The sequence below is a fragment of the Homo sapiens genome, chromosome 8 (genome assembly GCF_000001405.40).
Source record: "Homo sapiens chromosome 8, GRCh38.p14 Primary Assembly".
In the NCBI taxonomy this organism is placed as follows: domain Eukaryota; kingdom Metazoa; phylum Chordata; class Mammalia; order Primates; family Hominidae; genus Homo; species Homo sapiens.
In genome coordinates this window covers 81,451,488-81,472,998 of record NC_000008.11, presented here as the reverse complement: position 1 = coordinate 81,472,998, position 21,511 = coordinate 81,451,488, and the positions used below count along the sequence as shown (strand labels likewise).

At 36.1% G+C, this 21,511-nt stretch overlaps 1 protein-coding gene and 1 long non-coding RNA gene across 2 annotated transcripts in view; one reads left to right on the top strand and one right to left on the bottom strand.

Annotated features, from left to right (window-relative positions):
- Positions 1-11,541, bottom strand: part of LOC101927118 (uncharacterized) — a 117,987-nt gene extending 106,446 nt beyond the window's left edge. Inside the window, exon 1 of the long non-coding RNA XR_001745980.2 lies at positions 11,025-11,541. This is a non-coding gene — a long non-coding RNA (uncharacterized LOC101927118). The remainder of the gene's footprint in view (positions 1-11,024) is intronic.
- On the top strand, positions 11,420-14,746 carry FABP9 (fatty acid binding protein 9). The gene is made up of 4 exons (NM_001080526.2): positions 11,420-11,548; positions 13,662-13,834; positions 14,296-14,397; positions 14,566-14,746. The coding sequence occupies exons 1-4, from the start codon at positions 11,476-11,478 to the stop codon at positions 14,614-14,616; spliced, it is 399 nt and encodes a 132-aa protein (NP_001073995.1). The 5' UTR covers positions 11,420-11,475; the 3' UTR covers positions 14,617-14,746.

Below are 21,511 nucleotides of genomic sequence, written 5' to 3'. Positions count from 1 at the left end.
CAGGTGAATTTTGCCAAATATTTAAAGAATAAGTAATATAAATTCTTCTCAAAAATTTTTCAAACTATTGAAGAGAAGGAGACACTTTCTAACTCATTATATGAAGCCAGCATTACCCTGATACCATATCCAGACAGAGACACTACAAGAAAATAAAACTACAGAGTAATATCCCTTATGAACATTGATGCAAAATCTTCAAGAAAGTACTAGTAACATAACCAAGCAGGACTTATTCCTGGAATTCAAGGATGGCTCAAAATATAACAATTGATTGATGTAATACATTCTATTAACACAATGGAAGGACCAAAACACACAATCATTTCAACTGATGCAGAAAAAGCATTTCACAAAATTCAACACCCTTTCATGATTAAAAAAAAAAAAAACTTTCAAAAAACTAGGAATAAAAGGAAACTACTTCAACGTAATAAAGGCCAATTATGACAAGCCCATAGCTAACATCACACATAATGGTGAAATACCTGAAGGTTTTTTTCTTTCAGATCAGGATCAAGGCAAGGATGCCAGCTTTCACCACTTCTATTCAGCATAGTACTGGAAGTCCTAGTTAGAGCAATTAGTCAAGAAAAATAAATAAAGGGGATCCAAACTGGAAAGAAAGAAGTAAAACTGTCTCCACATATGATCTGATCTTACGTGTAAAAAACCCTGAAGATTCCACACAAAATACTGTTAGGAAGAATAAATAATTTCAGCAAAGTTTCAGGTATAAAATTAACATAAAAATCAGTTGTAATCCTATACACTAACAATAAACAATATAAAGGAAATTTTGAAAAGAATTTCATTTACATCATTGAAAATAATAAAATATTTGGGAATTATTCAATGTGATAAAAACTTGTACAATGAAAGCTGCAAAATTTTGCTGAAATAAATTAAGACATAAATAAATGGAAAGACATCCTATGATTATGAATTGGAAGACTCAATACTGGTAAGATGTTAATACTACCCAAAGCAATCTACAGATTTAATGTAATCCTTTTCAAAATTTCAATGACATGTTTTGCAGAAATAGAAAAATCCATACTAATATTCATAACATTTCCAAGGACCCCCAAATGGCCAAAATGATCTTGAAAAAGAATGTATTTGGAGGGCTCAGACTCCCTGCTGTCAAAACTTATTTCCAAGCTATAATAACCAAAATAGTATAGTCTTGGCAGAAAGGTAGACACAAAGACTACCTTAGTCCATTTAGGCTATAATAAATCAATACAAACTAGGGAGCTATACATAATAGAAATTTATTTACCATAGTTCTTGAAGTTGGGAAGTCTAAGATTAAAGTGTTATTCAATGTCTGGGAAGGGTCCACTTACTGCCTACCCATTGTGTCCTCACATGGTGGAAGCAATAAGCTACTTCTCTGGGGTTTCTTTTATAAGGGCTTGAATCTCAATCAAGAGGGTTTCACTCTCATGATGTAATCAACTCCAAAAGGCTTTTCCTCCTAATACCATCAACTTGGAGGTTAACATTTCAACATACGAATTTTGGGGGCACACAAGCATTTAGACCATAGCAAAGAAGAAAACATAGAGCAAAAAATTCATTCCATTGGATTTGGCAGTGATTTCCTGAATATGACACAAAAGGGACAGGCAACAAAAGAAAAAATAGTCAAGTTGTACTTTATGAAAGTTAAACATTTTGTACATCAAAAGACACTATCAGCAGTGTGGAAAGGTAGACCTGGAGAAAATATTTGTGAATCATATCTCTGAAAAGGGATTAATACCCAGAGCAGCTGGGCACACTGGCTCATGCCTATAATCCCAGCTACTCACTTTGAGGCTGCAGTGAGCTATAATTCCACCACTGCACTCCAGCCTGGGTGACAGAGTGAGACCCCATCACTAAAAAAAAAAAAAAAAGAACATCTAGAGAACCTCTAAAACTCAACAAGAAGAAACAAACAACCTGATTTACAAAATGGGCCAAGAACTTGAATAGACATTTCTCCAACGAAGTTATATAAGGTAGGGTGTGGTGGCTCACACCTATAATCCCAGCACTTTGGGAGGCTGAAGAGGGCAGATCCTTTGAGGCCATGAGTTTGAGACCAGCCTGGCCAACATAATGAAACCCCATCTCTACAAAAAATACAAAAAAATTAGCTGGGCAAGGTGGTGCATGCTTGTAGTTCCAGCTGCTCAGGAGGCTGAGGCACGAGAATCGCTTGAGCCTGGGAGGTGGAGGTTGCAGTGAGCCGAGGTCATGCCACTGTACTCCAGCCTGAGTGACAGAGAGAGATTCTGTCTCAAAAAAAAAAAAAAAGAAGAAGATATATAAATGTCCAATAAGCATATGAAAAGATGCTCAACATCCCTGTGACTATATGAAGGGTAAGATATATTTATTTATTTATTTATTTATTTATTTATTTATTTATTTTTGTCCGTGGTTCTTGGCTCAGAACTCCCACAGCCTTGTTATTTCATAAGTAGCTAGGTATTCAGCCTTCTGTCTTTGATCCCTGAAGCAACTTCAGGAAAGTGTCAGAGCAATAAACATGAAGGACAGCGTTTTGTTACAATATTGGCCTCAGAAGCAGGCCTCAGAAAACAGAATCTCTGTCTCTCTCTCTCTCTGACCTTCTCCTGCCCTCCTTTCATATGCTCCTTTTGTGGCAGGCTAGGTCTCACTAATGCAGGCCTCCACTACAACTGTCCCAGCACTGACTGAGTAACAAGGTTAACCATTAAAAGATGATTGAGCCAGTGCCCGTATACAAAGGCTGGAGTGTAACAAAGAGCTCACCAAGAGTTTTTGCCTAGTCTTTTCCTGGGCCTTGAAGCATGACAAGATAATGAAGGAATTGTTAATAGGACCCTTTTAGGATTTAACAAGTTTTATTGGGGGTCTGAAGAAACTCCCCAGGCCTCCACAAAAAAGTTTATTGGTGTCTAAAGGAACTCCCCAAACCTTTATGATTTAGCGGGAGGCAAGATAAAGGTAATCACCCCAGCACCTAGATCCATTTAGATTCAGTAAACTTACTGAGGCTCCAGAAGAAGGTCTTCAGGACTCAGACCTTAGCTATAGATTAAAAGAAGTTAATCACTTATGTCTTTAGATGAATGCACATTTACACATAGACATATAGCTTAGAAGGTATAGAAGCTCTGGAAAACTTTGTTATTTTGAGTTGGTCTGGCAATAATTTCCAGGCCTTCTCTCTGTAACTGGTTACAGAAATTAAAACTTTCTTCCTCCCCACTTCTTCTGCATCTTGTTATGGGGCCAAGAGAAATGGCAGCTCAACCTTCAGTTTGGTCCGGGAACATTTTTTTCTCCCCAAGGCAGGTCATAAAAGCTAAAAATATACTCTCCTCTAACCCCACCACTCTGTGTTGGAGCTGGACATGAAAAAATGCTCTGACTTACCTTGTCTGATTGCAGGTCATCATAATAAAAAATCTCACAACAAAGATAATCTCTGGACCTCTTGGCGTCACAGGTGAATTTTACCAAACATTTAAAGAACGACACCAATCCTTCTCATATTTTTCCAAAATGTTGAAGAGAAGGAAACCGTTTTTAATTCATTCTAGTAGGCCAGCATTATCCTGATAGTAAGGCCAGGCAGAGACACTACAAGAAAGGGGTCCTGCTCCAGGGAACCAAAGAAGAACTAAACAGGTAGGCCTTGCTGGGTTTCCTCACTCAGTCTTTTGTATTATAATCATACTTTTTTGGTCCAATTACATTTCTACATTGTTGTCTGTGTTTCAATCATGACTGTCTGATGACATCTGCTTAAAGTCTGAAGAGATGGGTTACAGAGAGCTTCCAGTAGCTGAACACAGGAGGTTTCTGGAGGGTGGAGTACCTGGGGAGGCTTCATGCCCCTGACCCCATACCTCACCCTATGCATCTCTTCATCTGTATCCTTTGTAATATCCTTTATAATAAACCAGTAAACATAGTGTTTCTTTGAGTTCTGTGAGCTGCTCTAGTAAATTAATCAAACCCCAGGAGGCGGTCATGGAAACCCCAGCTTGAAGCCTGTTGGTCAGAAGTTCCAGCGGCCTGGACTTGCTACTGGTGTCTGAAGTTGGGGGCAGTCTTGTGAGATTGATTTTACCTCCAGGGAGATTGTGTCAGAATTGAATTGAGTTAGAGGACACTCAGCTGGTGTCTGCTGTAGAATTTATTACGAGCTTGTTGGTGGGGAGAAATCCCCACATATTTGGTCACAGAAGTTTTCAGTGTTGATTGTTGTAGTATGAGAGCAGAGGAAAAATAGTTTGTGCTTTTTCCACTCAGAATCACTAATTATTAGGAAAATGCAAATCAAAACCACAATGAGATTCCTTCTCACACCTATCAGAATAACGACTATTAACAAAAACTGGAAAATAACAAGTGTTAGCAAGGATGTAGAGAAATTGGAACCCTTGCATACTGTTGGTAGAAATGTAAAGCCACTGTAAAAAACAGTATGACAATTCCTTTAAAAATTAAAAATAGAATTACCATGTGATCCAGCAAGTCTACATCTGGATGTATACCCCCAAAATTGAAAGCAGGGTCTCAAAGAGATATTTGTACACCCATGTTTATAGCAAGTTATTCACAATAGCTAAAACATGGAAGCAACTCAAGCATCCATGGACAGATGCATAGATAAGCAAAATGTAGTATATAGATGCAATGAATTATTATTACTCAGTATTAAAAAGAAGGAAATTCTGACATATGCTACAACACAGATGAACCTTGAGGACATGATGCTAAGTAAAATAAGCCAGTGATGAAAGGGCAAACACTATATTATTTCACTTACATGAGGTACCTAGAGTAGTCAAAATCACAGATAGAATGTATTAATAGAACCATGGTTCCTAGGGTCTGTGGGAAAAGGGGAATACAAAGTTACTATTTAACAGGCACAGAGTTTCAGTTTTGCAAGATGAAAAGAGTTCTGGATATGGATGGTGGTGATGGTTGCACAACAATATGAATGTACTTAACACCACTGAAATGCATGCTTAAAATGGTTAAGATAGCAAATATTTTGTGTATTTTACCACAATAACTCTCCCACCAAAAAAAGGTGATTATATAACCAAAGGAGAAGGGAGAGTTAAAAAGAGTTAAAGGTGTACAAGTGGATGTCCCCGGCCCCTAAACCCAAATTTATCATGAGCAATTCCTTCCACCCTCTCCCTTAAACTTGTTCCTCATCCTCTTTTCCACATCTCAGCAACGTCAGAATGTTCCATCTTGTTTTTCATTTCAAAACTCTTAAAATCATTCTCGAATAATCCTCCTTCCTCACTCCATAACATTTACTTTATTTTTTAAAATATTGATTATATTAACTTCAAACTTCTTTACTATGTTTGCTTTTCTTCTTCCCACCACCCATATTACTGTAATTTTTTTCTTTAATTACTTCAGAGTTCTGTCTTTAGGTCTCTATTACCTCCAGTCTTTCCTAAGCCCTGTAGACTTTATGAATGATTAGATAATGGAAATCTGACTGGGACATTCACTGATTAAAACCTTTTAGTGACTCTCATTGTAGGCAGAAAAGGTCCAATCCTGTTAGCATGGCATGTGGAAGCTGTCTTATCCTTGCCTTTTTTAAATCTAACTCTCCAGTTTTATCATGTCTCTGTTCTCTTCACATTTCTTGCTTCCATCATACCAACATGCATCTTCTTTCTTGCCTCAAGGTTTCTGTTTGTTTTGTACTTTACATTCTGCTTCTTCCTGGGCAGAATTCATTTTTTCCCACTCCCTTCTTCTCAAGCCTTCCTCATCCCTAATGTTGCCTCTGTGCTAATCCTTTACAAAGTCCGTTTATGTAGGTATATTTGTGAATTTAGTCATTTTTGAAAATGTAGTCTTCAAGTCTAATTATTATTTTTCAATTGGTGTGGAATCATAGAATAAGAAGATCCAGTTCAATATAAATTTGATAGATAAGTCAAATTCACGTTCCTATATTTTCACCATAAAACTAAGTCCATAGATACATCCAAGAAAGATCTTCAAGTAACAGCTCCCCAATTTATCCCATTTATCTTGCCTGGGATCTCTGTGAAGCTCATATAATTTTCCACTTTTTGACATTGTTTCTATCAATACATACATAAAGGCATAGAGGACACTGTACTCTGAAAGGAAGAGAGGCAGGATTAAGTGAGTACCTCTCCAAAACCCACAGTGTGGTCATAGAGTCCACCTATATCTTGAAGCAGATATGAATAGTCCAAAAAGCCAGTCACTCCCTCTTTAGAAACACAGGATCAGGTTAAGTAATGAGCTGGCTATCCCCTCTTCCCTAATTCCCACTCTAGCCATCAAAGGGCTACAATTTCTGATTTAGATATACTCCTTTCAAAGTCTGAAGCATTACTGACCTCAGTTTTCATGTAAAAATTACTTGTCAGTTTTCAGCAGATGACCCAGCCTCTTGCTTAGAACAGTGATTTTTTTCCCCAGTGTCTCCAGTACTAAAAGATGAGGAATGACTAAAGATCTGTTCCTGATTGAAGGAGACTAAAGAGACATGATGGCTGAAAGCAACGCATGATCACGGACAGGATTCTGGGTCAGAAAGGCTGGGTTTTTTCCCTTTTTTTTAGTAGGAAAAGGAAAAACTGTCAGGACAATTGGTAAGGTTTGAGTGGGGTCTGTGGATTAGATAGCAGTATTGCCATCAGTGTTGATTTCCTGATTGAGATCCTTGTTTGGAGAGGAGTGGGGCAACATTTCTCAACTTACTCTCAATGACTGAGCAACAAACAGCTTGCTTCTTATGAAGAGAGAGAGGGAGGGAGGGAGGGAGAGAGATAGAGAGAGGTAGGGACAAAAGTGTTGGAATGTTGACAATTGTGAAATCTGGGCAAAGAGTATATATGGGAGTTTTCTGTGTTGTTCGGGAAGTGTTTTTGTAATTATTTCAAATTTAAAAGGTAACCAAAAAAAACCTCAACCAAATAGAATAAAGTTAGGGGAAGAAGGTGGCATGAAACAAGAGAAAATATCAATTGCCAAAAAATGAATTTGCCTAAAAATTCTTTACATGTTAATAAATATGATATGCATAACTCCTTAGAAAGAAATTGCTATTTTTTAGCGAAGACTTGGACTAACCCAAATGCCCATCAATCATAGACTGGATAAAGAAAATGTGGCACATATACACCATGGAATACTATGCAGCCTTAAAAAAGAATGAGTTCATGTCCTTTGCAAGGACATGGATGAAGCTGGAAGCCATCATTCTCAGCAAACTAACACAGGAACAGAAAACCTAACACCACGTGTTCTCACTCATAAGTGGGAGTTGAACAATGAGAACACATGGACACAGGGAGGGGAACATCACACACTGAGGCCTGTCAGGGGGTGGGGGCCAACGGGAGGGAGAGCATCAGGACAAATACCTAATGCATTCAGGGCTTAAAACCTAGATGACAGTTGATAGGTGCAGCAAACCACCATGGTACATGTATACATATGTAACAAACCTGCACATTCTGCACATGTATCCCAGAACTTAACGTAAAATTAAAAATAAAAAAAAAAAGGAACAGTCCTACTACAGGTGAATTTTCAAGGTGGTCAGCCGCCTCCATATGCTCTTAAATAGTGAGCACTTCAAATAAATAACCTTCACCAAAAACAAAAGAAAGAAATTGCTATTTTTATATATACCTATTAAGCAGTAAATAATAGATAAGAGATGGACTTATTTTGTAACTAGTAAAAATAAACTGGAAGTTGTCATATTAAAACAATTACTTGCTCAGAGTTAATTTGGTATGGTTGTTTTAAGTAAAATTTTTATTATAAGTGAAGTGATCCAGAAGTAAAAACAATGTAAAAATTCTCTTATAAGCCCCATATATAAAAAAATTATTGGAAAAAGTGATGTTTTAAAAAAATATATCTTTTATGTTAAGCAAATAGTCTCTTGAAATTATAACATCAATTCCTCTAGTGTAGAAAATACTAGCAAATGGAAGACTATTTCAATGACAAATATCACATTCAGACTATTAACCAAAGTTAATTTCAAAATACTTGTTTTCCTTATTGGATAATATAATATCGTCTTAAAAAGAAAAATTTTAAATAATTACTTTTCAGAGTCCTAGATTAAATGTACACTTTGAAAAGTCATTATATTATTGCATCTTTAAAATTGAAATTGAATGATGAACACAGTAAGGAATATGATACTTAGAGGTGTCACTGCATGTGGAAATAAGAATCTTAGATGCTTTATCAAATCCAGCTAAAGTACTATATGTGCAACAATAAATTATCAGACATATTTCTGAATACTTGTGTAGCTTCCAGTATATGTTTAACTTTACCAGTATCCATCATCAGTGGCAACCATAGCATCTCAAAATTAAAAATTATTCAAAACTACTTGATGTCTTAAAATGTCACAAGAAAATCAATATAGAAAATGAGATGCTGAAAGTTCATAGAAAAATGACATATTGGAGAAATGAGCCTTGAAACTGTCATAAGAACAAGACATGTAACTATTCTATAACAAACTACAGTATTCTAGTTCCTTTACTAGGATTAACATTAGGAACAATCTGATTAAAAATTTTTTTTCTACTTGAGGAAATGGTGTTCACTTTTTTTATATAATCAAACCAAAGTGCCAAAGGCTAGCGGTGGTAGCAACAGAAATAGCAGAGAACTTTCTTAGTTGAGAAGGGAGACTTGTGCTATATAACTGAGAAAGATGAAGAGAGTCTGAGCATCCCTCCACCATCTGATAATGACCAGAATAAAAGGCCTGTCATAGGACCAGGTCAGGAGAAGATAATGTACTAAAACTCTGTCTTTAGTCACTGTTAGAGAGATAAAGAACACTAATGAGAATTACCAGTTAAAAAAAATACTACTTATTTCTTTGGTCACTCATCCATAAAACATTTATTGAACACTTATGATATGCCAGATACTGTCTTAAGGATACAGAAGTGAGTGGAAAATATTTTCTTTTTTTGATATACTCATAGAATAGCTCAGGAGACAGCTGGGAAATAGCTCTTTGCAGTACTATGAAATAAGCTAATATACTTCTCTTAAACATTTATTTCTATCTTCACGCCATGGGGATTATCTAGCTCTGAACCAGTGTCACAGGGAAAGAGATGTTTGAGTTGGTTCAGGAAGATGGGTCTCTGCTGTCATGAGGCCAGCTCTATGTGATTCATGCAACTGGTTGTTGTGAAGGTCCAAATTCACCATTTGGTGAAGCTATTTACAAAGGCGTAGTAATTATGAAGACTTCTTCTACAAGTAACAAAAGCTCAGAGACAAAACTGTTTAAATAAGAATGGAATTTATTAACTAACATAATATAAATTTTTGAAATAAAGTGGCCTTCAGTTCCTTCCACGTTTCTGCTCTGCTATCCTCAGTTCTGGCCCCATCTTTGAGGAGGTAACACAATGGATGCAGCACTTGTAAATATCACGTGAGATAGAAAAATGTGTAGAGGCAAAAGAGAGACTGTCTCTCCCTTTGGTTCTCTCCTAGGGGTGGGGAATTTTACAGAAGCCAGAATTTTTATTTTATTTTATTTTAAGTTCTGGGATACATGTGCAGAACGTACAGGTTTGTTATATAAGTAAATGTGTGCCATGGTGGTTTGCTGCACCTATCAACCCATCACGTAGGTATTAAGCCCCACATGCATTAGCTATTTATCCTGATGCTCTCCCTCCCCCCATAGCCCTGGCCCCAACAGGCTCCAGTGTGCATTGTTCTCCTCCTTGTGTCCATGTGTTCTTACTGTTCAGCTCCCACTTATAAGTGAGAACATGAGGTGTTTTTCTCTTCCTGCGTTAGTTTGCTGAGGATAATTGAAACCAGAAATCTGATGTTAGCTTTTGTCTCATGGGCCAACTGAGTTCTAAACGGACCACAGGAATATCATTCTATGACAGGAGAATCAAAACAACAAGGAAGATTATGCTGATGGGAGACCTTTGCTACACTACCCAGCTGGCCAACAGGCATAGCAATGTATGCTTGCTTTCTTTAAAGCAGAGAGTGCATACACATCTCGAACCAGTTAAGCAAACGTTTAACAACTTGCTCTATATTTGAACATCACCTCTGAATGCACTTTCAACTGCTGAGGCACTTATTTTGAGCTTGGGTCTTAGTTTCCTGAAATTAACTCCAGGATTTTCACTTACCCTGTTTTGCACTGTAGATAATTTAATAATTGTCCCACCCATAAAGATATCACATTATATGTTTCTTCTTTATATGTTTTCATCAAAAGCCATCCTTTATTCCACTTAAGTTATTGTTTTACAGTACCAAAATATCAACCTCCTGTTTATTTTGTTCACAAACAATATTTTCTGAATTAAATAAATACTTCATACAAAGCAGGTAAAAATATAAATATTCTTCTTCTGGTCCCTGACACTAACTTTCCAACATCTTCTAAAGTTAACTGGAGTTCAAAACCGTAATGTAAATCAACAGCTACTGAATCTACTCCTTCTTACTAAACTCAGTACCTGCAAAGTCCACTTCCATTATTGGGGTTGCAGAAGATGGTTTCAGAAGTAATGGCACAGAGATTGAAACCATTTGCTGCCTTTGTCTTTCTTTTAGAATGCAGATTCCAAACATCTTTTTCTATATGAAACTTGCCAAAATTTTTTCTTATAATTTAAAATATCTTTTAATGTAGAGTTTACTTTGTAAGCCTGAAAGACGAATTTTGTAGGCATTCGCTCTGCTTCCTTTTCAGAGCTTAAATCATATACTATTATCCAATGATAATTGTCACCTTTCTTTCCTGTCCTCAATTACCTTCGATTAACAACAATGATAATATATTAATAATACCCTCCATTTCCCTCCAAGCAATTATAGGCATTTTAGTTACATTAACTAATATCAACCCATCAACCCTGTAAGGAAGGGAAGGGAAGATATTATTTTAATGAAGAGGATGTTTGAGCACTGTGACTTACCCAAACAAAAAACAGCTGAGGTGGACCAAGCAAGGATTTCTTGTCTTAGGTAGGAAAACATCTCAGCCAGGTGTTTATCAATTTGTCAGGATATTCCTCCAGGGTTGACTCAGTATTCATTGTTCAAAAAGCTGATGTCTATTGAAGATTGTCTCCGTTCCACAAGTAATATTTGTCAGGTGACTTGGGTGTAAATCTTTTTGCTAGAAGCTAAAATCATTGACCAGAATTTAATTTTACATGCTAATTTTCTGTCTCTTAATTTGGAGGTAAATAAAATGAGTCAAATGCTGGTGCCTAGAATCTTTAGTCTTGCTGCTGTTGCCCATTGGCCATTTCAGAAGAGTCACGTGATGAAGACGCTCTTTAAATTAAACTACTGGCAGCACCGTAATGCCTATATTTCTTTGGTTTTCAATTACGAGTGGCTCTTCTCAGCAAGTGTTCCATGATGGTTGAGCCCTTCTTGGGAACCTGGAAGCTGGTCTCCAGTGAAAACTTTGAGGATTACATGAAAGAACTGGGTGAGAAATACCATTACAAATTTGGAAATTGGCAAAGCATTTTGTGATGTGATTGGGTTTGTACTTTACCATGAATTTTCCTACAATTATCTTCCTTTTGTGATCCTAGGGTATATAGACTAACACAATGTATGCTTCTACTTTTGCTTTTTTAAATTACTAGTAATAATTGTCTCTTTTTGGAAGACTAGGCCCACAGACACCTCTGTCCAGTCATGATCCATATATTTAAGCCCATTTATCCTTTTTGAAAATACTTCACCTAACTTCTAGATAGAATTTCATTTTAGCTTGGTCATTTCATTTAATAACATTTTTCCCAGCTTCAAATTTATAGACAGTAATCACTACCTACAATTAAATTGATCAATTAAATTTGTTTCAAGGTTTAAGTTATAGCTTTAAAACAGCAGTATCAACTAACAAAATTTCTAGTTGGTTAATTTTTAGAGTTCTCATAAATGTGAGAGATATTTTATAAACATGGTTTTGAAGAATTACAAATCTGAAGAAACACAACATTTTTACTCATTGAATGTCTCACCACTGGATATTCCTCAGAATTATAAACCCTACCAATCCTTTAATCTCTAACTCAAGTCATTTAGTTACACATTAATTATAATGACTTGGGTGTATAATAGCTAAACTGTTCTTTACTAATGGAAGAACAGCAATTATTTCATATTTTTCATATTTAATTAAGAGAAACCTCCCTTGTAGTAAACTGTATACAAAGCCAAGGACTTTCTTATCTTTACTTTTTTTTAACTTACATAACATGCTTAATGGATGCTTACAATTATTAATTATGTTTACTCATTCTAGACAATGAAATAACAATGCCTTATCCCCATAATAAGTCAATGTGCTTATAAATGTAATATTTGTTCCTCTGATGTAGTCAATATTCACTTTCTCAGAGGGTCATAAGAAACAAGTTTTTCTGTCTCTTCATAGATTTATAGACTCACTTGTTTTGAATAAAAATTGGGGGGGTATATAAAAAACTTGGGCCTTATGGCCAGAGTAGCACTTGTGTTGACTGGGAGCTGGGTTTAGGCATAATACAAGCAAGAATAACAGCTGAGCAGTTTCTATGTGCCAGTACCATGCTAACCCCTTTCATTTAACCTTTTAAAACATCCGCTGGCTGGGTACAGTGGCTCAGGCCTCCAATCCCAGCACTTTGGGAGGCCAAGGCAGGTGGATCACCTGAGGTCAGGAGTTCGAGATCAGCCTGGCCAACATGGTGAAACCCCATCTCTACTAAAAATACAAAAATTAGCTGGGCATGGTGGCATGTGCCTGTAATCCCAGCTACTCGGGGGGCTGAGGCAGGAGAATCGCTTGAACTTGGGAGGCAGAGGTTGCAGTGAGCTGAGATTGTGCCACTGCACTCCAGCCTGGGCAACATAGCGAGACTCTGTCTCAAAACAAAAAACAAACAAACAAACAAACAAAAAAAAAACTTGCGAGGTCAAGTATACAGTTATCCACACTTTACTATTGAGAAAACTGAAGGTTAGGAGAGGTAAATAATATGCCCAAGCTAGCAAGTGGCCAAGTTAGAGCCTGGGTTTTAACCATCTCACTCTTCTTTGTGATGCAGATGTCTAACACTGCTTCTCTACAGTAAGATGTGTCATATCAGTTCCACAATCTAAATGTGAAATGGAGTTTGATATCAGGACAGAGAAGGAGTCAGCTCTTCTGCCCACCAACTGCAGGAGTCAAGTTTGACAATGGGAAATTCCCAACCAAACCACAGGGCCAGGCTCTAAGTCAAACTCCTCCCGCACCCACAAGGTTATCGTAACACTCCACAAGGTGAAGTGCAAGCATTTGATCTCTTGAAAGGCACCATACAAATTTACATTTTAGAGGAAGTGTAATAGTCTCAGAGAGTGAATTTAGCTTTTCAAAATGTCACATATATACCTTATGACTGGGAGGATCTAGCTCAGCCCTGATATCACAGAAAACATAAAATAAGTTACTATACATTATCCAAAATTTCAAAATAGGTAAAGTAAGCATTCTTTGAAAATTGACTTCCAGAGTGATTGTTAACAATGTCTTAATAAGGTCCAAGGCTATCTCTGTCTTGTAGGAGTGAATTTCGCAGCCCGGAACATGGCAGGGTTAGTGAAACCGACAGTAACTATTAGTGTTGATGGGAAAATGATGACCATAAGAACAGAAAGTTCTTTCCAGGACACTAAGATCTCCTTCAAGCTGGGGGAAGAATTTGATGAAACTACAGCAGACAACCGGAAAGTAAAGGTCAGAACTAATTCTTCCTGGTGTTCAACAATCAGGAAAAAGTTAGAAGGTGGTTAGGCATGGTTTACTGTAATTTGATTTATCACCAAGTCTGTCTGGGCTTGTTCTGTTAATAGTCGCACATCTCTAAAGTTAATCCTTTTGCTAATTATTTTGATGGTTAACAATAGGGCTAAAAGATTCAAATTGTTTTCATTTCATTTTTTCTTATCTCTTTGTCATATGAAAGAGCACATAGAAAGAAACAACTAAACACAAATAGCTTATGCATTGTTTGCCTAGGAAAGAGCACTAATTGAATAATCTCTTGAGACTTCTAGTTTGATAGTACTACATCATGACAACAAAAGTGAGGATTTTAAGAAAAGAATTTCAAAATAGAAATTAAAAAGTAGATATGTGGTCTCATGTAGGTTAGAAGGTAGTGAGTTGCTACTTCTGATTTCTTTATGCATTTATAGAGCACCATAACATTAGAGAATGGCTCAATGATTCACGTCCAAAAATGGCTTGGCAAAGAGACAACAATCAAAAGAAAAATTGTGGATGAAAAAATGGTAGTGGTAAGTTTTCTTTAAATTGAAGTCTTTATATGTTCCTATTTGATACATGCCTTTCAAGTTATTCAATTGTTTTTGCATCCTGAATTAAGGGTTTGGTCTGAGGAGAAAGGGGCAGGGCAAGTTTAGCCTGTTATCTACCAGCTCTAATAGATTCCTCTTTGCTTTTAGGAATGTAAAATGAATAATATTGTCAGCACCAGAATCTACGAAAAGGTGTGAAGAAAGGTCCACAGCAATGAAAACTTGTTCACTGACAAGGAACTGGTACCTGAAGAAGATATGCCTCAGGGCTGGTGATTTTTAAAAAATGTCTCAATATAAATTTGCTTAATAAAAGCATCAAATTAAGTGCAGTTTTGAAGCTATTTAATAATGAGGATTAGGAACAAACCAATGAATTGTTGAGGCAAGAAGCTACTTGCCTGCAGTGTGATTGTAACAGCACCAAAGTCCCCTCTGTCCTCTGCCCACTTGACTTCCACAGTCCTTGAGCTCTCACTGAAGGACCCATTCCATTTAGGTTAAGGCATTCTATCAAAGCCTTGTGGAAATTCAGGTGATCTCCTAGGCAGCACAGATTCTAAAAACCAACATTGCTGATTTTTTTATTTTTTCAGAAGTGTGGCCCACTTAAAGCAGATACATAGATTAAATGATGATGATACAGACAGATAGATAGCACTAAATAGAGACTGGATGTCATACACTGTGGATAAGTTGCTATAAAAGAGCATTTAAAAGAGTCATCTCGTTTCTCCATAAATCCATTTAAAATAATCAGGCTGGTGCATCTGTCACAACTGTTTACAACTTAGCCTTTGCCGTATGACATTTTATTAAATGCCAGTCCTGAGTTTCTAAATGTCTAGTTAAGAATGTAATTGTTAGAGCTACACACAGTCCGTTAATAGTTTCACCAAAGGCTGTTGGTAGAAATTGATGTTCTCAGGGCTTAGGGTAAAACAGCCTAATGGAGGTAAAATTAAAGGACAAAGCCTAAAATGCTGTGGGTACCTATAGCAGTGGGAAAAGGAGAAAGAAAGAGGGGGAATTTTGTAAATAATCATTTTGTGCCTTAAACTGAAACATAGATCGTATTTGGTCAAATGTAAGTCCTTAGAGTCATGTGTATTCACTAGAGCAGAATGTCCATGTAATTTGTCATCCAAACTGGATGAGAAATTAAAATTGAAAAGGGGCACTATTAACAATTACATCTGGAGAGTAGGCATAACCTGGGACTGCTCGAGGCAAACTGGGGGTTACTGGCACCTTAGTAAGGGTGAAATTGAAGGGTAATGAACAAAAGGACTACAACATGGGGTTGAGACATGAACTGAATCCCTGGCCAAGGAAAGAAACTAGGGTTGTCACATTAAACCCTGAAGACATCTGAGGTTTCAGCTGTGGCCAGAAGTAATGGGCTTGGTGCTGGCTACGCAGCTGCTGGATGTGGGCAATGATGGTCATCCCAGCATGCCATGTCCTCCACCTTCCTAAAGGACTTGAGTGTGTACAAAATGTAACCATGTGTGTGTTCCAGAAGTCAAGATGGTGTTCAGCCCCAGAAGTGGTGTCTTGCACAAAGGGGAACATGGACCAATGCCTCCTCAATCAGCCTCTGCAAGGGAGCTGGAAATGACAGCTGCTTTAGTGACGTCTCAGAGCAGGGTCAGAGAGTTTTCCACAACTGTTAGGAAGAAGAAATTATGCTAAAAAGCACTAAGCACTTACTCACTTAAATCTTTCACTTTACACAGGCACGATTAAGAAAAGAATAATGCTGTTCCTAATTTTCAAGATATTTCTCTTTTCATATATGTCAAAGCTCAAACTACAATGAGCCTGAATAAGAAACAAACCCCTATGTTGAGTATTTTAGTAGGTGGAGCCAAAGATACTACTCCTGAGGAAATCATTCATTCACTCATCCACAAGTTCTTCTCGGTGATCACTGTGCGTCTGATGCTGTCTTAGGGACTAGAAAACATCAGAGTTAGGTATGGTGTTCACAACTTCCCTTTTATATTTGATGTAGCAGAGTCATCTTGAAACATGAATCCTTTCAATTTCAGTCAAATCATGTGAAAATTTTCTTTTAAAAATACATTAAACAGTATACTTAGAATCATTGTCTTTATTAAGAACTTTCATATAATCAATCTCTTGGTACATCTGACTTGCCTTCAAAAATTATCATCTATCTCTAAGTAAATGACAACATGATGTTTGTTATGTTGTATTAGATTTATTATAGAAGAAAGATAATGAAAGAGGGACTTTTCATTATAGTGAGTTAATGTAAAGCCATTATTTGTTTACTTTCTAAGCAGGTTTAAAATAAAATAAGTGAGAGAAGTTTCTATTCTCTCATGTATAAATATAAATAAAATATAAATATTAAATAATCAGAATATAAATATTCAGAATATAATATTTATATTCAGAAACTAGGGTTGTCACATTAAACCCTGAAAACCTGTGAGATTTCAGCTGTGGCCAGAAGTGATGGGCTTGGTGCTGGCTACATAGCTGCTGGATGTGGGCAATGATGGTCATCCCAGCATACCATGTCCTCCTCCTTCCTAAAGGACTTCAGTGTGTGCAAAATAATATAATTCAGAATATGATATTCAGAATATTTATACATATTTTTATAATATATAATTTATAAATATATTTTATTCTGAATATTTATATTATTGTATGTCAAATCCACACTGAAGTTTGTAGGAAAGTATTAATTATTTAAAGATCAATCATACTAATGCCATTATTAATATATGAGTCAAGAATCATTCACCAGATTTTCCTTGCTATTTAACACTATTAATAAATTACTGAATAATATTATTAAAATTAATTAATTAAAGAAATTAATTTAATTAAGTAAAAATTAAATGATTACACTAATATATAATATAGAGACAATTATACATTATATTTTATTATATGTTAATATAATAAACATTTATATTGGTAATTATATATTATATTATGTTACATATTATTAATATAATAAAATAAGTCATTAATATAATTTATTATTAAAATTAAAATTAATTTGTTTTAAACATTTTTAGTAGTATTTAATTTTTATACTTTTTGCACAAAAATCCAATAAACATAATGGACATGCTTTTCTTCACTGGCTATAAAAAGGGAATGGACTATCCCAAAGGTAGTAACCAAAAGTAGATGAAACATTAGGATGAAGTATCAGGACATAGTCTAGTCCCAAAACATACACTCTTATGATTTCTATCCTGAACATTTAGTCCAAAAATATAGTCTATTCATTTTGGAGTTTGGTATCCAGGCCCTTGTGTCCCTTTTTCCAGGAAGGTGGGGATTGACCATCTAACTACCAGCCCTGCTCATAGAATGGAACTCACCTGTTGACCCAGAGATGCATGCCGTGAATGGAATGGGGTTGGAGGACCAGTCAGACCTGGACTGGAATACTGCTTCTGCCACTGGCAGCTACATGAGCAAGCATGAGCTGCTTAATCACTTAAATTTTCTCCTTTGCAAAATGGAGACTTATCTGCTTCACAGGGTTGTGAGAGTAAATGAAGCCTTATCAAAAGGACTGACACAGAAAATCCCTCAGGTCTTCTCATTTTTTCCAGATCCCCTTCTGAGGTTATAAGGAAATTAGAATGCAAAGAGTAGGAACAATGTAATTGTTGAGCATGTGCACTAAAACAGTGACCAGACAAAGAGATCAAGAGGGTCTCAGCAGAGGTAAGCTTAGAGCAACTAATTGAGAAAAACGAGCAGGGAATATGGATTCTAGTTTACTTTGTAAAACAGAGTTTGAATATGAGTAGATGCTTATTAAAAGTAATATCTTTCAAGACATAAATTACAAAACAACTTCCCAAAAGTTATCTTTCTTGATCCTCAAAATAATCAATATTTTACAGATAATAAAACTTCAGCCCAAATGAAATCCACTTATTATAGTAAGTGATAAAGCTAAATGAGAACTTACTCTAAATTCACTATCACATTCTATCTTCCTAAATTAAGAAATAATGTCAGAACATGATGTACCACAATTTGAAAGCCACTGTGACAGAGATGGTTAATTACCCACTAGAAATCTGGGGTTACGCTTCCATATTACAGCATTGTTGCTAGAAAGAGTCTGCCAGCCAGGCACTGCATTGCCCAGTCCCTCCCCTGTCTCCCTGGGGCCTTATGACAATTTTGCATTAGAAAATGAGTAGAAGTGATATGTGCCACTTCTGGGTCAAGGAAATCTGTGCCTGCCTGCTTGGAGGAGAGGACTCTGAAACCTGAGGTCATGGTGGAGGCACAAGATAAATGGATCCAAGGCCTCTGAGTCACCTCATGGAGAAAAGCTACCCATAGGCCAGGAGCACTTATACTGGACTGGACATCAAGCAAAAAATAAACTTCCAGGATAAGCCACTGAAATCCTGGAGTGTATTACAGCAGCTAATATTTCTCCGAATAAGTGTGAAATTTAAGAGATGTCATTTTTACAGTTTATCTCCAGTCACGAACATGTTATAAGCTGGAATTTAACTAAAAAAAAAAAACTAGTTTTCAGTTATTTGAGGAAATAAGGAATGGATTGGCATGAATTTTAAAAAAAAACACTGTTTAAACATGAATTTAATTGATTCTCTGATCTAACTTTACTTAGTCTGAAATACATATATAGATGTAAAAAGTTCGTATGTAAATTATACTTTCAAGCCATCATACCATCTTAATTGTTCAAAAAAATTGTAAGACACAATCAAAGAAATAAAGTAGAACACAACGTAGGCTACCTGGATACCACATGATTAGAAAATCACCTGAATTTTTGAGTTTGTGTTTTCTCCTGATGAAATCAAGCTAAGCACATACACACACATTTTTCACTATGTTTTGCAAGTGAATTATTTTTAAGGGATTTCTTTTTTTTATAGCAATATGGAGCAAATGGCTAAATCCTGAAAAGTGTCTCCCACAGCTCTTTGTGCTAATACCTGAAGTACAATCTACTTGGATGTCCTGTATCTGGAAAGTGTTAATATCACCTTTTCTCTAAGACAAAATGCAAATGAGTAGAAAAATGGGGAAAACTCAGTTTATGTTATGATGACCAGAGAAAGAAACTCAGATGCAGAAATCTTGTCTTCTATTTACTCCCCAGTGAGTGAGTAACTCCAATTCTCAGGTGTTCTATTAGCAACAATGATGTGAAATCTTAGATTAGCCTTTGGAAAAGAGGCCTCGGTGTGTTAGATTCTAGCAAAAAACAAACAAACAAACAAACAAACAAACAAAAACCGCTAATTGAATTGTTTAGAGGAATCACAGACTACTTCTTTCCTCTCTTTGTTGCCATTCAACAGAAAAGAAAAACTATTAACTACCTTTGGGGCTGCATAAATGCAATTGTCACCATAGTAACCAAAAGACCAAATACCCACTGGTAGCCGAGGAAGTTGCATGAGATGGTTTGCATTAAGAAAGCAATTTTAATTTGACATTGTTAAACTTAGAGCAAAACACTTATTTGAAACATGGAAGAGGAGGTTATCTGTCCTGAAGTGCCATTGTCACCTTCTGCTAAATACCTGTCTGGGAAAGGTACTGGCTGCTCTAGTAGCTGACTCCTAAAGATAAATCAGATCAATAGTCTCATGATGGTGTCTAAGAAATTTCATAAGGTATCTGCCTAGATAGTAATGGTCAACGGGCTCTTAATGGCATTTTCACAGTATCCATCTGCAAATGACAAAAAGAAATAATTGGATATCATGTGTCTTGATTGTTTACTTAATGTCTGTCTTCCTAACTAGAGTATAAGGCTTATGAGGGAAGGAGCTGTTGCTATTTCACTCATCATATTATCTCTAGTACTATCATAGTTCAACAAATATATGTTGAATAATTGTCTGCATTTAGGCTTGTGAGATACTGTACAATGAATCTTAGAATCATCTTACATGCACTTTCCTAGTATCATAATAAGATTATGTCATACTGAACATGGAAACAATTGCCTGCTTTTACTGCTGACTAAAGGAAAGACCAAATGAAGGAATGAGTGTCACTTAGTTATATCCCAAGTCTTGCTCTTTCTGTGTCTCCAGAAAAAGAAAAGAAAGAGAAGGCAGGGGAGGGAGAGGGGAGAAAGAAGTTTAGAAGAATACTACTACTGATCATAAGCACTAGTTTTTGATGCTTTCATAACATTTATTATCTGATTTGATGCAAACAAAAACCCTTGTAAGTAGAAAATATTCTGTTTTCTTCATTCAGTCAGTCAACAAATGGTTATTCATTACCTACTGTATGCATGCATGGTATTTTGCACTTGGGATACTACATGAGCAAAATCACGCATTGTCCCTGATCACATGGAATCAAGACGTCAGTTAAGCTATTTATCAAGTTATATTCAAAATTTATAAACATTGCCATTGCAGTAACTGTTAAATGATGATATGCATGGTAAAGAAAATTTTAGGAAAGATGGTTGAGTTAATATCAAGAGAATGTCGCTCTAAAGGTCCGAAAGGATGATTGAGCTGAGAATTAAGGATTAAACATGTGGGAGTGATTACATATTACAGGGAAAGAGACGAAGGGAGGTATTGCCGGAAAGGAGAACGACATGTGCAGAGATCTTGGTGGAGGCAACCTAGAAACTAGGACTTTTTTATTCTCTAGAAGAGTTTGTGTAACATTGGTATTATTTTTTCCTCAAATATTTGTAAGAATTCATTGGTGAAGCCTATGGGCATAGGGTATCTTCATGAGATGGATTTTAAATATGGATTTAATGCTAATAGATTTGGGAGTATTCAGGATTTTTACTTTTTCTTGCATCATTTTTGATAAACTGTGTTTTCTAAGAAACCTGTAAGTCTCTTTTAAATTTTTTTATTTAAAAAATTTTAATTTATTGACATGAAGTAGTTTATAATATTGTTATGATCTTTTTCATATCTGTAGGATATATTAATATGCTTTTTTCCATTTCTGTGTTCAATAATTTTGTCTTCTCTATTTTTAATCCATCTTCCTAAAAGTTTATCGATCTTACTAGTCATTAAAATGCTTTTGGGTTTGTTGATATTTT

Bases quoted from the DNA above. Each gene is read 5' to 3' on its own strand.
- FABP9 (NM_001080526.2), top strand. From the start codon at position 11,476: ATGGTTGAGCCCTTCTTGGGAACCTGGAAGCTGGTCTCCAGTGAAAAC. The intron at 11,549-13,661 runs GTGAGAAATACC...TCTGTCTTGTAG, and splicing joins GGATTACATGAAAGAACTGG to GAGTGAATTTCGCAGCCCGG. The intron at 13,835-14,295 runs GTCAGAACTAAT...ATGCATTTATAG, and splicing joins CAGACAACCGGAAAGTAAAG to AGCACCATAACATTAGAGAA.